A 14,176-nucleotide genomic window follows, 5' to 3' on the forward strand; every position below is an offset into this window, starting at 1 on the left:
TTTTTAGTAGAGACAGGGTTTCACCATGTTGGCCAGGCTGGTCTCTAACTCCTGACCTCAAATGATCCGCCTGCCTTAGCCTCCCAAAGTTCTGGGATTACAGGCGTGAGCCACCACGCCCAGCCTCTACTGGACTTTCTCTTTTTTTTTTTTTTTTTTTTTTTGAGATGGAGTCTCACTCTGTCTCCCAGGCTAGAGTGCAGTGGCGCAGTCTCGGCTCACTGCAACCTCCGCCTCCCAGATTCTCTTACTTCAGCCTCCCAAGTAGCTGGGACTACAGGTGCATGCCACCACACCCAGCTAATTTTTCTATTTTTAGTAGAGAAAGGGTTTTGCCATGTTGGCCAGGCTGGTCTCAAACTCCTGACCTCAGGTGATCCGCCTGCCTCAGCCTCCCAAAGTGTTGGGATTACAGGCATGAGCCACCATGCCAGGCAAGGACTTTCTATTTTATTTTCTCCTTACAGCTTTCTTCTACTTCCCTGGCACAGACACGTGGGGCTGGGGTGCAAAGGCCATCTTTTGATCAGGAGAGACAATGAGCAGAATAGAAGACAGAAAACATAAGATACAAGAAGAAGAGACACTGGTGACATGATGGAGACACTGCCGCTCAAGACTACCTACTCTAATTACCTATGTGAGAAGACTAAACCCATGTGGTGAAAAAAAAAGAAAAGAGAGACATAATCGTCAAAGACCGAGAAGCAAAAGTCAGCCTGGCAAAGAAAACAGCATTAGCAAAGGCCCAGTGGCAAAGAGAATATAAGGCAGGATGTAGAGTTTCAATAAATCATCTTGGTTGGAACAAAAGGGCCAGTTGGTGGGTGAAAAGGAAGAGTGTGAGGTTTGATAAGGTGTGGTGGGTTCTGATACAAGTCAAACTGTCATAACAAATGAAAACATTCATAACACCCTAAGTACAACAGTTTTGCTCTTATAACTTCCTTTCTTGAAATGTGTTGGTAATAAAACATTCTGTAAGACCAAGCTATTTATTCTTTTTTTATTTTTATTTTTGAGACAAGGTCTTGCTCTGCCACCCAGGCTGGAGTGCAGTGGTGCAAACACAGCTCACTGCAGCCTGGGCTCAAGTGATCCTCCTGCCTCAGCCTCTCGAATAGCTGAGGCCACGGACATGTGCCACCATGCTCAGCTAATTTTTAATTTTTTGTAGCGATGGGGTTTCGCCATATTGCCCAGGCTGGTCTCAAACTCCTGGGCTCAAACTCCCCTGGGCCTCCCAAAGGGCTGGGTTTATAGTCGTGAGCTTCCACACCCAGCCCTAGACCAAGCTATTTAAATAAGTAATATTTTGTAAATAGACTAAAGAGCAATGCCATCAAGATGATAGAGCAAATAAAATGGTATAGGCAATGTCACGGATGAAAAGGAATTTAGAGATATCTCTTTTAATTCAACCTCTCTTTTACCAGATAAGAAGTTAAGACTCCTGGCAATGTAGGGTCCTGTCTAAAGTTTTGACAATGCCAGACAACACTGCTGCCTCATTTACTAACAGTTGATGGAATCTTTGTGTTCACAACTCTACCCGAATTACACGACTGTTATTCTTTGAAGATCAATATGAAAAATATGAAACATATAAAAAATTAAAGAAAAGACAAAGACACTATACCCAGAAGATGTTGAAATTAAGGATGGGAAGTTTAGACTTGGATTGGGGCAGTGGTTGAGAGAAATAGAGGAGAGATCAAGAGACATTCCAGTTGAGAAAGTATTACCTGTACTACATTTTCAGGGTGACTGCCTGAATAAGGAGGCCATAAGAGAAGAGAAAAATAAAGATTTCCAACTGTGACCCCAGCATCAGAAGTGAAGGTTAATTTAGAAGTGGTGGTTGTTCAAGGGGAAAGGTAACAACACATTTCATCTAAAAGTAACTCTTGGCCAGGCACAGTGGTTCACACCTGTAATCCCAGCACTTTGGGCAGGCTGAGGCAAGAGGATCACTTGAGTCAAGGAGTTCGAGACTAGCCTGGGCAACATAGTGAGACCTCATCTCTTAAAAAAAAAAAAAAAAGAGTAATCCCAGCACTTTGGGAGGCCGAGGCGGGCGGATCATGAGGTCAGAAGATCAAGACCATCCGGGCTAACACGGTGAAACTCTGTCTCTACTAAAAACACAAAAAAATTAGCTGGGTGTGGTGGTGGGTGCCTGTAGTCCCAGCTACTCAGGAGGCTGAGGCAGGAGAATGGTGTGAACCTGGGAAATGGAGCTTGCAGTGAGCTGAGATCATGCCACTGCACTCCAGCCTGAGCGACAGAGCAAGATTCTGTCTCAAAAAAAAAAAAAAAAACAAAAAAACAAAGAAAGGTAATTATTTGAGGCCAGGTGAGGTGGCTCATGCCTATAATCCCAGCACTTTGGGAGGCCAAGGCTGGTGAATCATGAGGTCAAGAGATGGAGACCATCCTGGCCAACATGGTGAAACTATGTCTGTACTATACAGGTTTGAAGCTATACAGATTGAGTTATCCCTTATATGAAATGCTTGGGATCAGCAGGTTTTCAGATTTCTGGCTGGGTGCAGTGGCTCACGCCTGTAATCCCAACATTTTGGGAGGTCAAGGGGGGTGGATCCCTTGAGCTCAGGAATTTGAGACCAGCCTGGCCAACATGGTGAAACCCCATCTAGTAAAAATACAAAAATTAGCTGGGAGTGGTAGTGTGCACCTGTGGTCCCAGCTACTCAGAGGCTGAGGCAGGAGAATCGCTTGAACCCAGGAGGCGGAGGTTGCAGTGAGCCGAGATCACGCCACTGCACTCCAGCCTGGCAACTGAGCGAGACGCCGTCTCAAAAATAAAAAAAAAAAGTATTTGCAAGATGAAGTAGTTCTGGAGACCAGTTGCACAACGTGGATACATGTGACATTAATGAACTGTGCACTTAAAGTTGGTTAAGATTGTAAACTTTATTTTAAAAAAGAACTAAAAAGTACCTGTAATTTTTTTTTTTTAAAGACAGGATCTCACTCTGTCACCTAGTCTGGAGTGTAGTGGCACCATCTTGGCTCACTGCAGCCTCCCACCTCCCAGGCTTAAGTGATCCTCCTGCCTCAGCCTCCTGAGTAGCTGGGACTACAAGCCTGCACCACCATGCCCAGCTAATTCTTATATATTTTTTTGTAGAGACAGGGTTTTACCATGTTGACCAGGCTGGTCTTAAACTCCTGAGCTCAAGCAGTCTGCTCACTTCTGCATCTCAAAGTACTGGGATTACAGGTGTGAGCCACCTTGCCTGGCCATCTCTCTTTCTCTTTCTTTCTCTCTCTCTCTCTCTGTCTCTCTCTCTCTCTCTCTGTCTCTCTCTCTCTCTCTCTCTCTCTCTCTATATATATATATATATATATATATATATATTTTTTTTTTTTTTTTTTTTGTCCTTGAGATGGAGTCTCACTCTCTTGCCCAGGTTGCAGTGCAGTGGTGTGGTCTCAGCTCACTGCAACCTCCACCTCCTGGGTTCAAGCGATTCTCCTGCCTCAGCCTCTTGAGTAGCTGGGACTACAGGTGCGCACCACCACACCCAGCTAATTTTTGTATTTTTAGTACAGATGGGGTTTCACCATGTTGGCCAGCCTGGTCTCAAACTTCTGTCCTCAAGTGATCCACCTACCTCGCTCCCATAGTGCTGGGATTATAGACGTGAGCCATCATGCCCAGCCAAGCCCATGATTTTTTTTTTCTTTTTTGAGATGGAGTCTTGCTTTGTCGCCCAGGCTGGAGTACAATGGCGCGATCTCGGCTCACTGCAACCTCTTCCTCCCGGGTTCAAGCAATTCTCCTGTCTCAGCCTCCCGAGTAGCTGGGATTACAGGTGCACCACTACGCCCAACTAATTTTTGTATTTTTAGTAGAGATGGGGTTTCACCATGTTGGTCGGGCTGGTCTCGAATTCCCGACCTCGTGATCCACCCACCTCGGCCTCTCAAAGTGCTGGGATTACAGGCGTGACCCACCACTCCCGGCCTAAGCCCATAATTTTTAAAGTAATTGTTTTTATTAATTTAAACTTTTGCTCAATCTACTTTGAAGCTATACAGGTTAAGTATCCCTTATATGAAATGCTTGGGATCAGAAGTGTTTCAGATTTCTGGCCGGGTGCAGTAGCTCACGCCTCTAATCCCAACATTTTGGGAGGCCAAGGGGGGTGGATCCCTTGAGCTCAGGAATTCGAGACCAGCCTGGCCAACATGGTGAAACCCCATCTCTACTAAAAATACAAAAATTAGCTGGGGGTGGTAGTGTGCACCTGTGGTCCCAACTACTCGGGAGGCTGAGGCAGGAGAATTGCTTGAATGTGGGAGGTGGAGGTTGCGGTGAGCTGAGATTATGCCACTGCACTCCAGCCTGGGTGACAGAGCAAGATCCTGTCTCAAAAAAAGAAGTGTTCCAGATTTCTGTTTTTTTCAGAGTTTGAAATACTTGCATATGTATAATGAGATATCTTGGGGATGAGACCCAAGTCTAAACACAATATTCATTTATGTTTCATATACAGTTTATACACATAGCTTGAAGGTAATTTTATATAATATTTTAAATAACTGTGCATGAAATAAAGTTTTCTTTTTCTTTTTAAATTGAGATGGGATCTTGCTATGTTGCCCAGGCTGGTCTTGAACCCCTGGGCTGAAGTGATCCTCGTGCAACAGACTCCCAAAGCACTGGGATAACAAGCATAAACCATGTGCTGGTTGAAGTAAAGTTTTTTTCTTTCTTTCTTTTTTTTCTCCTTCCCCTCCTCTGAAACAAACAAACAAAAAAATTTTTAAGCATTCCAATCAAGGAACATGGGATGCTTTCCCATTTATTTAGTTCTTTTTGTTGTTCTTGTTTTTTGAGACAGAGTCTCACTCTGTCACCCAGGCTGGAGTGCAGTGGGGCAGTCTTGGCTCACTGCAACCTCTGCCTCCCAGGTTCAGGCGATTCTCATGCCTCAGCCTCCTAAGTAGCTGGGATTACAGGTGTGTGCCACCATGCCCAGCTAATTTTTGTATTTTTAGTAGAGATGGGTTTTCGCCATGTTCGCCAGGCTGGTCTGGAACTCCTGGCCTCAAGTGATCCACCTGCCTTGACCTTCCAAAGTGCTGCAACTACAGGCATGAGCCACTGTGCCCAGCCTGAAACAAAGTTTTGACTTTGACCCATCACATGAGGTCAGGTGTGGAGTTTTCCCTTGAGGCATCACATTGGCACTCAAAAAGTTTTGGATTTTGGGCCGGGCATGGTGGCTCACACCTGTAATCCCAGCACTTTGGGAGGCCGAGATGGGCAGATCACCTGAGGACAGGAGACCAGCCTGACCAACATGGAGAAACCCCATCTTTACTAAAAATACAAAATTAGCTGGGTGTGGTGGCACATGCCTATACTCCCAGCTACTTGGTAGGCTGAAGCAGAAGAATCACTTGAACCAGGGAGGCAGAGGTTGCAGTGAGCCGAGATCACGCCATTGCACTCCAGCTTGGGCAACAAGAGCGAATCTCCACCTCAAAAAAAAAAAAAAAAAAAAGCTTTGGATTTTGGAGAATTCTGGATTTTAGATTTTTGGATTAGGGTTGCTTAACCTGTATCAACTTTTCAAGTTTTAGGAACGCAGATTTACTCCTGCCATCTCAAGTAGTAGGAAGTCTCTCTATACACATATTTTATAAAGAGATGGGGGTCTTGCTATCTTGCCCAGGCTGGTCTCAAACTCCTGAGCTCAAGTGATCCTCCCGTCTCAGCCTTCTGAGTAGCTGGGAGGAAGTCTATTTTGAGGATACACATGACAAGAAAGATGAGAATATCATAGGAACTTAAGAACAGTCAAGTGGTTAGACTGCAGTTGGGAACTAAAATGAACATGGAAGTGGACAACAAATTCTATGCACACCTACAGATGGAGTTAAGTGTCACTCTCAGTGGCAGGAGTCATGCAGTACTCCCCAAACCTGAGGGTGTGTATCACCATTTCTCTCTGTCTCTATGACTACCAGCCAACTACCTCATTTAGTCATAGCTTCTGCTTAGTCATAATGCCAGTTTACTCATATCATGTCTCTCTATAACCACTTATAACCACTTTTAGCTTCTCTCCCCACATTCAACAGACTGATTCTCTGTATAATCAACTTCAAATTCTTTTTCTCTTTTTTTCTTTTTTTTTTTTTGACAGAGTCTCACTCTGTCACCCAGGCTGGAGTACAGTGGCGTGATCACAGCTCACTGCATCCTTGGCACCCCAGGCTTAAGCAGTCCTCCCACTTCAGCCTACTGAGTAGCTGGGACTATAGCTGTGCCACCATGCCTGGCTAATTTTTTTTTTTTTCTTTGAGATGGAGTTTCACTCTTGTTACCCAGGCTGGAGTGCAACGGCATGATCTTGGCTCACCGCAACTTCTGCATCCCGGGTTCAAGTGATTCTCCTGCCTCAGCCTCCCAAGTAGCTGGGATTACAGGCATGCGCCACCACGCCCAGCTAATTTTGTATTTTTAGTAGAGACAGGGTTTCTCCATGTTGGTCAGGCTGGTCTTGAACTCTCGATCTCAGGTGATCTGCCCACCTTGGCCTCCCAAAGTGCTAGAATTACAGGCGTGAGCCACCTTGTCCAGCCGCCTGGCTAATTTTTTAATTTTTTGTAGATACAGTGTCTCACTATGTTGCCCAGGCTGGTCTTGAACTGGTGGGCTCAAGCAATCCTCCTGCCTCGGCTTCCCAAAGCTCTGGGATCACAGGCATGAGCCACCATGCCCAGCCCAAATTCCTGAAAGAAAAAAAAAAAAAAAAAAACGCCGGGCGCGGTGTCTCATGCCTGTAATCCCAACACTTTGGGAGGCCGAGGTGGGCGGATCACCTGAGGTCAGGAGTTCGAGACCAGCCTGGCCAACATGGAGAAACCCTGTCTCTACTAAAAATACAAAATGAGCCGGGAGTGGTGGTGCATGCCTGTAATCCCAGCTACTTGGGTGGCCGAGGCAGGAGAATTGCTTGAACCCGGGAGGTGGAGATTGCAGTGAGCCGAGATCGCGCCATTGCACTGCAGCCTGGGCAAACAGAGCGAAACTCCATCTGAAAAAATATATATATATGACTGGGCTTGGTGGCTTACGCCTGTAATCCCAGCACTTTGGGAGGTCAAGGCGGGCAGATCACTTGAGGTCAGCGTTTGAGACCAGCCTGGCCAACATGGTGAAACCCCGTCTCTACTAAAAATACAAAAAAAAATTAGCCAGGCGTAGTGGTGTGTGCCTGTAATCCCAACTACTCGAGAGGCTGAGGCAGAAGAATCACTTGAATCTGGGAGGTGGAGGTTGCAGTGAGCCAAGATCATACCACTGTACTCCAGCCTGGATGACAGAGTGAGAGAGACTCCATCTAAAAAAAAAAAGAAAAAAGAAAAAAATTTGACTGGCTTAGTTCAGTTTTCAAAATTAAATGTGCATCAGAACCTGGCCAACATGGCGAAACCCATCTCTACTAAAAATGCAAAAACTAGCTGGGCATGGTGATGTGTGCCTGTAGTTCCAGCTACTCAAGAGGCTGAGGTGGAAGGATCACTTGAACACAGGAGGTCAAGGCTGCAGTAAGCTGTGATCACACCACTGCACACCAGCCTTGGTGTCAGAGCAAGACCCTGACTCAAAGTAATAATAATAATATGCATCAGAATCATCTGGAGAGCTTAAATCACAAGTTGTAGGACCCCTTCCCAGCATTTCTGATTTAGTCATCTGGGGTATAGCCTGCGAATTTGCATTTCTAACAAAATCCCAGGTAATGCTGACTACACTGATCTGGGGACCACACTTGAGAACCACTGGTCTGGTTAATCATCCTTTTATCTGTTTGGACAGAGCAACTGGGGCAAGCTACCTCATGTTGCCAGTACCATATTTCTGAACTGACTCTCAGGCTCATAACTGGAGATTTTTTTCCTCCTCATTTAGGCAGTCACCCAAGTCTTATGATTTATAAGTGGAATGTCTCTGATCTTTCCCTTTATCTTCCTCAGTCACTGCCCTCATCCAGGGTCTCATCTCCCCGTACCTGGACCACAGAAAAGTTTCCTGAGTCAAGCTGCCCTAGACCCACAGCTGCCAAATTACCCTTCCACTGACAGTCCTCAAATGCTTATGGTTTCCCTCAAGGCCATCGATCGGCCACCTTTGGTTATCACATTAAGTTAAATTTTGGAACACCTCTAAACTTTTGCTTTTAGGTCAATAATATTTATTTACTTTTATTTATTTGTTCATGTATTTAGAGTCTTGCTCTGTTGCCCATGCTGGAGTGCAGAGGCGCAAATCTCGGCTCACTGCAAACTCTGCCTCCCAGGTTCAAGCCATTCGCCTGCCTCAGCCTCCCAAGTAGCTGGGATTACAGGTACTCGCCACCACACCCAGCTAATTTTTGTATTTTTAGTAGAGACAGGGTTTCGCCATGTTGGCCAGCCTGGTCTTGAACTCCTGACCTCAGATGATCTGTCTGCCTGGGCCTCCCAAAGTGCTGGGATTACAGGCGTGAGCCACCGCACTCGGCCTTAAGTCAATATTTAAATGTCCAAATTTGTTTTTCCATATTGATATATATTTTTTTCTTTTTTCTCTTTTTTTGGAGACAGGGTCTTGCTCTGTCACCTAGGCTGGAGTGCGTGGGTGCCATCACAGCTCACTGCAGCCTCAATGTCCCAGGCTTTAATGATCCTCCTGCTTCACCCTTCCAAGTAGATGGGACCACAGGTGTGTGCCACCACATCCAGCTATTTTTTTAATTTTTTGTAGAGATCGGGACTATGCTACCCAGGCTGGTTTTGAACTCCTGGGCTCAAGTGATTCTTCCACTTTGGCCTCCCAAAGGGCTGTGATTACAGGCGTGGGCCACCAAGCCCAGCCTTATATTTCCTTTCTACCACGACCTCCTACCCCTTCCCTTAAAGAACCCACCTATCTGAACCTTAGGACCATGCTTTAGGAAAAGCTTCAACTTTTTTTTTTTTTTTAAATAAAGATGACTCTGGAACTGGAACTTTAAAAAAAAATTATATTTGGCCAGGTGCAGTGGCTCATGCCTATAATCCCAGCACTTTAGGAGGCTGAGGTGAGTGGATAACCTGAGGTCAGGAGTTCGAGACCAGCCTGGCCAACATGGTGAAACCCCATCTCCACTAAAAATAGCTGGGTGTGGTGGGCGCCTGTAGTCCCAGCTACTCGATAGGCTGAGGCAGGAGAATCACTTGAACCCGGGAGGCAGAGGTTGTAGTGAGCCGAGATAGTGCCACTGCCCTCCAGCCTGGGTGACAGAGTGAGACACTGTCTCAAGAAAGAAAAAAAAAAAAAAGTTATGCAGATTTTGCAATCTTCTCCATCTATTTTTGCTTTAACATAAAAGGAATGGGATGGGTGCAGTGGCTCATACCTGTTATCCCAGCACTTTGGGAGACTGAGGCGGGTGGATCACTTGAGGTCAGGAGTTCAAGACCAGCCTGGCCAACATGGTGAAACCCCATCTCTACTAAAAATACAAAGATTAGCCGGGCATGGTGGCAGGGCCTGTACTCCCAGCTACTCGGGAGGCTGAGGCAGGAGAATTGCTTGAACCTGGGAGGGGGAGGAGGTTGCAGTGAGCTGAGATCATGCCATTGCACTCCAGCCTGGGTGACAGAGCAAAACTCTGTCTCAGAAAAAAAAAGAAAAAAAAAAAACAAAACCTGCACTCACTGCAACCTCCGCCTCCCAGATTCAAGCGATTCTCCTGCCTCAGCTTCCCAAATAGCTGGGATTACAGGTATGCACCACCCCGCCCAGCTAATTTTGTATTTTTAGTAGAGACAGGGTTTCACCATGTTGGTCAAGGCTGGTCTAGAACTCCTGACCTCAGGTGATCCGCTGCCACAACCTCCCAAAGTGCTGGGATTACAGACGTGAACCACCACGCCAGCCAAGTGCTTTCTTTTGAATTCAAGGCCTTCAAAGACGGTAATTCCAGTCTTATTTCTAACACTACATTACTTTCTAGCAAACTGGAATACTTTACTTAGTGTGTTCTCAATATTTAATTGAATCTGATTGTTGGCAGGTGGTGTTGACGTCTACTGTCATCTAGCACAGTGGTTCTCAAAGCGTGTTCCTTAGACCAGGGCATCAGAATCACCTGAGACCTTGTTAGAAAGGCGTATGTTCGGCCGAGCGCAGTGGCTCACGCCTGTAATCCCAGCACTTTGGGAGGTTGACGCCGGCGGATTGCTTGGGCTCAGGAGACAAGCCTGGGCAACATGTCTCTACTAAAAATACAAAAAAAATAGCCAGGCATGGTGATGCATGGCTACTCAGGAGGCTGAGGTGGGAGGATCACTTGAACCCAGGGAATGGAGGTTGCAGTGAGTAGAGATCGCACCACTGCACTCCAGCCTGGGTGACAGAGTGAGACCCTGTCTCAAAAAAAAAAAAAAAAAAGGCATATTTTCTGTCCTCTCCTATATCAAACCTGCTGAATCAGAAACTCTGGGGGTGGGGCTTGAGCAGTCTGCATTTTAATTAGCCCTCCAGCTGATTCTGATACAGCTGAAGTTTGAGAACCAGTCGATTAACATTTAGTTTTCAATCTAAAACAGAATAAGATACATTTTTAAAAGCTCGTATTGTCCTTAAATGGAATATAAACTACTACGTAAGTGTAAAATGTTGATTTTTAAGACAAAGTGAGGTGGCACACAGTTGTAATCCCAGTGCTTTGGGAGGCTGAGGCAGGAGGATTGCTGGATCTCAGGAGCTCAAGACCAGCTTGGGCAGCATAGTGAGACTCCATCTCTACAAAAAAATTTTTTAAATTAGCCGGGCATGGTGGCATGAGCCTGTAGTCCCAGATACTGTGGAGGCTGAGGTGGGAAGATCGCTTAAGCCCTGGATATCAAGGCTGCAGTGAATTATGATAGCGTTTCTGCACTCTAGCCTGGGGGACAAAGCGACCTCCTGTCTCTAAAAAAAAAAAAATTCAAAAACAAATAAAAAAAAGAAAATGTGTTCTAAAAGAACAGGTTAAACAATTTTTAATTCATTTGTCTCCTCCTAGTGGCAGGCTTTTAAATATAGAGCACAACACTTGATTTTTCAGAAATCATATTTCTGAAATTTTTCATGATTCTTTTTTTTTTTTTTTGAGACGGAATCTCACTTTGTCGCCAGGCTGGAGTGCAGTGGTACAATCTCAGCTCACTGCCACCTCCAACTCCCTGGTTGAAGCGATTCAAAGGCTTTTACTGATATGGCAGGGTAATTTATGGAGACACTAATACCCTACATTCTCCCCCTTTATCCCTTCCAAGCAGGCAGGTAGGCAGTTTGTATTTCTTTATCTGTGATGTTTAAAAGAATGGAAAGCTGGCTGGGTGTGGTGGTTCATGCCTATAATACCAGCACTTTGGGAGGCTGAGGCAGGTGGATCACTTGAGGTCAGGCGTTCGAGACCAGCCTGGACAACATGGTGAAACGCCATCTCCACTAAAAATACAAAAAATTAGCCAGGCCTATTGGCTGATGCCTGTAATCCCAGCTACTTGGGGGGCTGAGGTAGGAGAATCACTTGAACCCAGGAGGCAGAGGTTGCAGTGAGTTGAGATTGTGCCATTGCACTCCAGCCTGGGTAACAGAGCAAGACTCTGTCTCTAAATAAATAAATAAATAAATAAATATTAAAAAAAAAAAACTGAAGAATTAGCCAGGCATGGTGATGCATGCCTGTAGTCCCAGCTACTAAGGAGCCTGAGACAGAAGGATTGCTTGAGCCCAGGAGTTCCAGTGAGCTGTGATCACCCCACTGCACTACAGCCTGGGCAACAGAGCAAGACCCTGTATCTAAAACAAAAAATAAAAACTACAGGAGGAGATGGAGATTTCCTTAGGCTGGGAAAGGACTGGTGTGTCTCTTCTCTCCCAGCAGTGTCCTGAAGTAGTGCCAAGACCTAAGAGGCTAGCCTCAGAAAGGCCTGCTCTAAACTTCAGGGTTTCCAAACAGCAGGGATTCCCATGCTTTACTGAAACATAGTGCCTGAAATTGAAGGGTCTGTGTGGCTTCAAGAACCATGGGAATCTCAGTAGTAACCAATATGGATTAAAGACTGGAGAGGCCTCTTCAAATACTATGCCTGATCTGGGAGTGTAAAGGAGAGGAAATTGAGATTAAATTTTCCTGCCAGCTTGATGTGACAGGGGCTCAGAGTCAAGCTTAATTTAAGGAAAATAAGGAAACACGGTTTTTCTTAAATATCAAAGTTTGTGGTTGCAGTTCACACCCCAGGAAATACAGTGAAAAACAAAGCAGAAAGAGATGAAGAACATAGCAATAGATGTGTTTACAGAACAAGGGTTATTGATCCTAATGTCATTAAAGTCTTACCATAGAATGATGTGGCTGACCCAGTTTAATCAGGTGTGCAGCTCCCTAGCTCTTTAACTCCTCTTCAACTCTATTAAGGCTGGATGCTCAATCTCATTCTGTTGACTCTTAACTAGCCTGATGCAGAGGTTGGCATCTCTACCTGCTTTCCCAGAAAAGACAATAGAGTGTAGTAAGTCAGATAAGTTTCCTAATTTTCTTTCTTTCTTTTTTGAGACGGAATCTCGCTCTGTCGCCAGGCTGGACTGCAGTGGCATGATCTTGGCTCACTGCAACCTCCGCCTCCTGGGTTCAAGTGATTCTCCTGCCTCAGCCTCCCGGCTGGGACTACAGGCGCATGCCACAACGCCCAGCTAATTTTTGCTTTTTTTTTTTTTTTTTTTTGAGATGGAGTCTTGCTCTGTCACCCAGGCTGGAGTGCAGTGGCACGATCTCGGCTCACTACAAGCTCCGCCTCCCGGGTTCATGCCATTCTCCTGCCTCAGCTGGGACTACAGGCATCCACCACCATGCCCGGCTAATTTTTTATATTTTTAGTAGAGACAGGGTTTCACCATGTTAGCCAGGATGGTCTTGATCTCCTGACCTCATGATCTGCCCGCCTCAGCCTCCCAAAGTGCTGGGATTACAGGCGTGAGCCACCGTGCCCAGCCTAATTTTTGTATTTTTAGTAGAGATGGGGTTTCACCATGTTGGCCAGGAAGGTCTCGATCTCTTGACCTTGTGATCCACCCGCCTCGGCCTCCCAAAGTGCTGGAATTACAAGTGTGAGCCATCGCTCCCGGCCAAGTTTCCTAATTTTCTAAGTGTCAGTTTCCCAAAGTGTAAAATGGAAGTTAGACTAATGAGGGCTGATATTTAGCTTGTATGCACTGATTAAAAACATACCAGTTGTTAAATTAGAGACATTTTTCCCGTATCAGCCAGTAACAAGCAACCACCGCAAGCCTTTAGCTCACTCCAGGCCTCCCCATGATCCAACTTTCCCAGGACCCTACCCCAGCATGGCTGAGTCGTTGTGCCCTGCTAGTTAATTGTTAAATAATCTTGATAATTCATTAAATGTCATTCTTGATAATAGTTATCTTTTGAGACTATCATGAGGCTGATAACCTATATGTCACACTTGGTAGTTTACTTTTAAAGTAAACTGGCTTCCAAATTAACTTGCCTTGGGGAGGTCTTGTGACTCATGGCAACATCCTATCCCTGAGTAAAGAATCTGTGCGCTCTTCAAATTGTTGACATACTGATTAATGCATAACTTACTGACAATGGAAAGGACACTGACTTCTGATCATGAAGTTTTACTGATTGTCTTGCACACAGACATTTTATCCTGCATGTTGCAATCTGTAGCCAATGACTGTAACTTCTGTACTGTCTGTACGCTCCAATAACTTTGGTATAAGGAGTACTCCTCCCTTCTCCTTCCCTCCCTCTCCTTCTCCTCCCTTCTCCTAAAAAAGGCCGTCCTTTTAAAAGCCTGTTCCAGTAACTTGTAACAGACTCCAGAACACTCCTAACTCTGGTTGGTGTGTCTTCCCAGTTCAATCCTCACATTTGGCTTCCAATAAATGTTTTTCAAATTATTTCTGCCTCAGCAGCCTTAGTTTCAGTAGACAAGGCTTAAAGTGGGTTCAGTTAAAGCAAACTAATAACACTTGACCCTTTCCAACTTTTCTTCCTCTCAGCCATGGGTCCTTAAGCCATCTTTTTTGGATCCAGAGCCAAATTATATTTCTATGCAGCCACCATGGTTCTAGCCCTTATCT

General features: G+C 45.4%; 2 annotated features.

Moving 5' to 3' along the window:
- Nucleotides 6,036-6,255: an enhancer, noted in NCBI's record as "active region_24939". NCBI's record gives its function as "activates an Ori minimal core promoter by ATAC-STARR-seq in GM12878 lymphoblastoid cells {active_cell/tissue: GM12878}" and the evidence as "EXISTENCE:reporter gene assay evidence [ECO:0000049][PMID:35858748]".
- Nucleotides 11,115-11,409: a silencer, noted in NCBI's record as "tiled region #5639; HepG2 Repressive non-DNase unmatched - State 13:Ctcf". NCBI's record gives its function as "represses a minimal TATA promoter and a strong SV40 promoter by Sharpr-MPRA in HepG2 cells {active_cell/tissue: HepG2}" and the evidence as "EXISTENCE:reporter gene assay evidence [ECO:0000049][PMID:27701403]".

This window comes from Homo sapiens, chromosome 6 (genome assembly GCF_000001405.40).
Source record: "Homo sapiens chromosome 6, GRCh38.p14 Primary Assembly".
NCBI classification, from domain to species: Eukaryota; Metazoa; Chordata; class Mammalia; order Primates; family Hominidae; genus Homo; species Homo sapiens.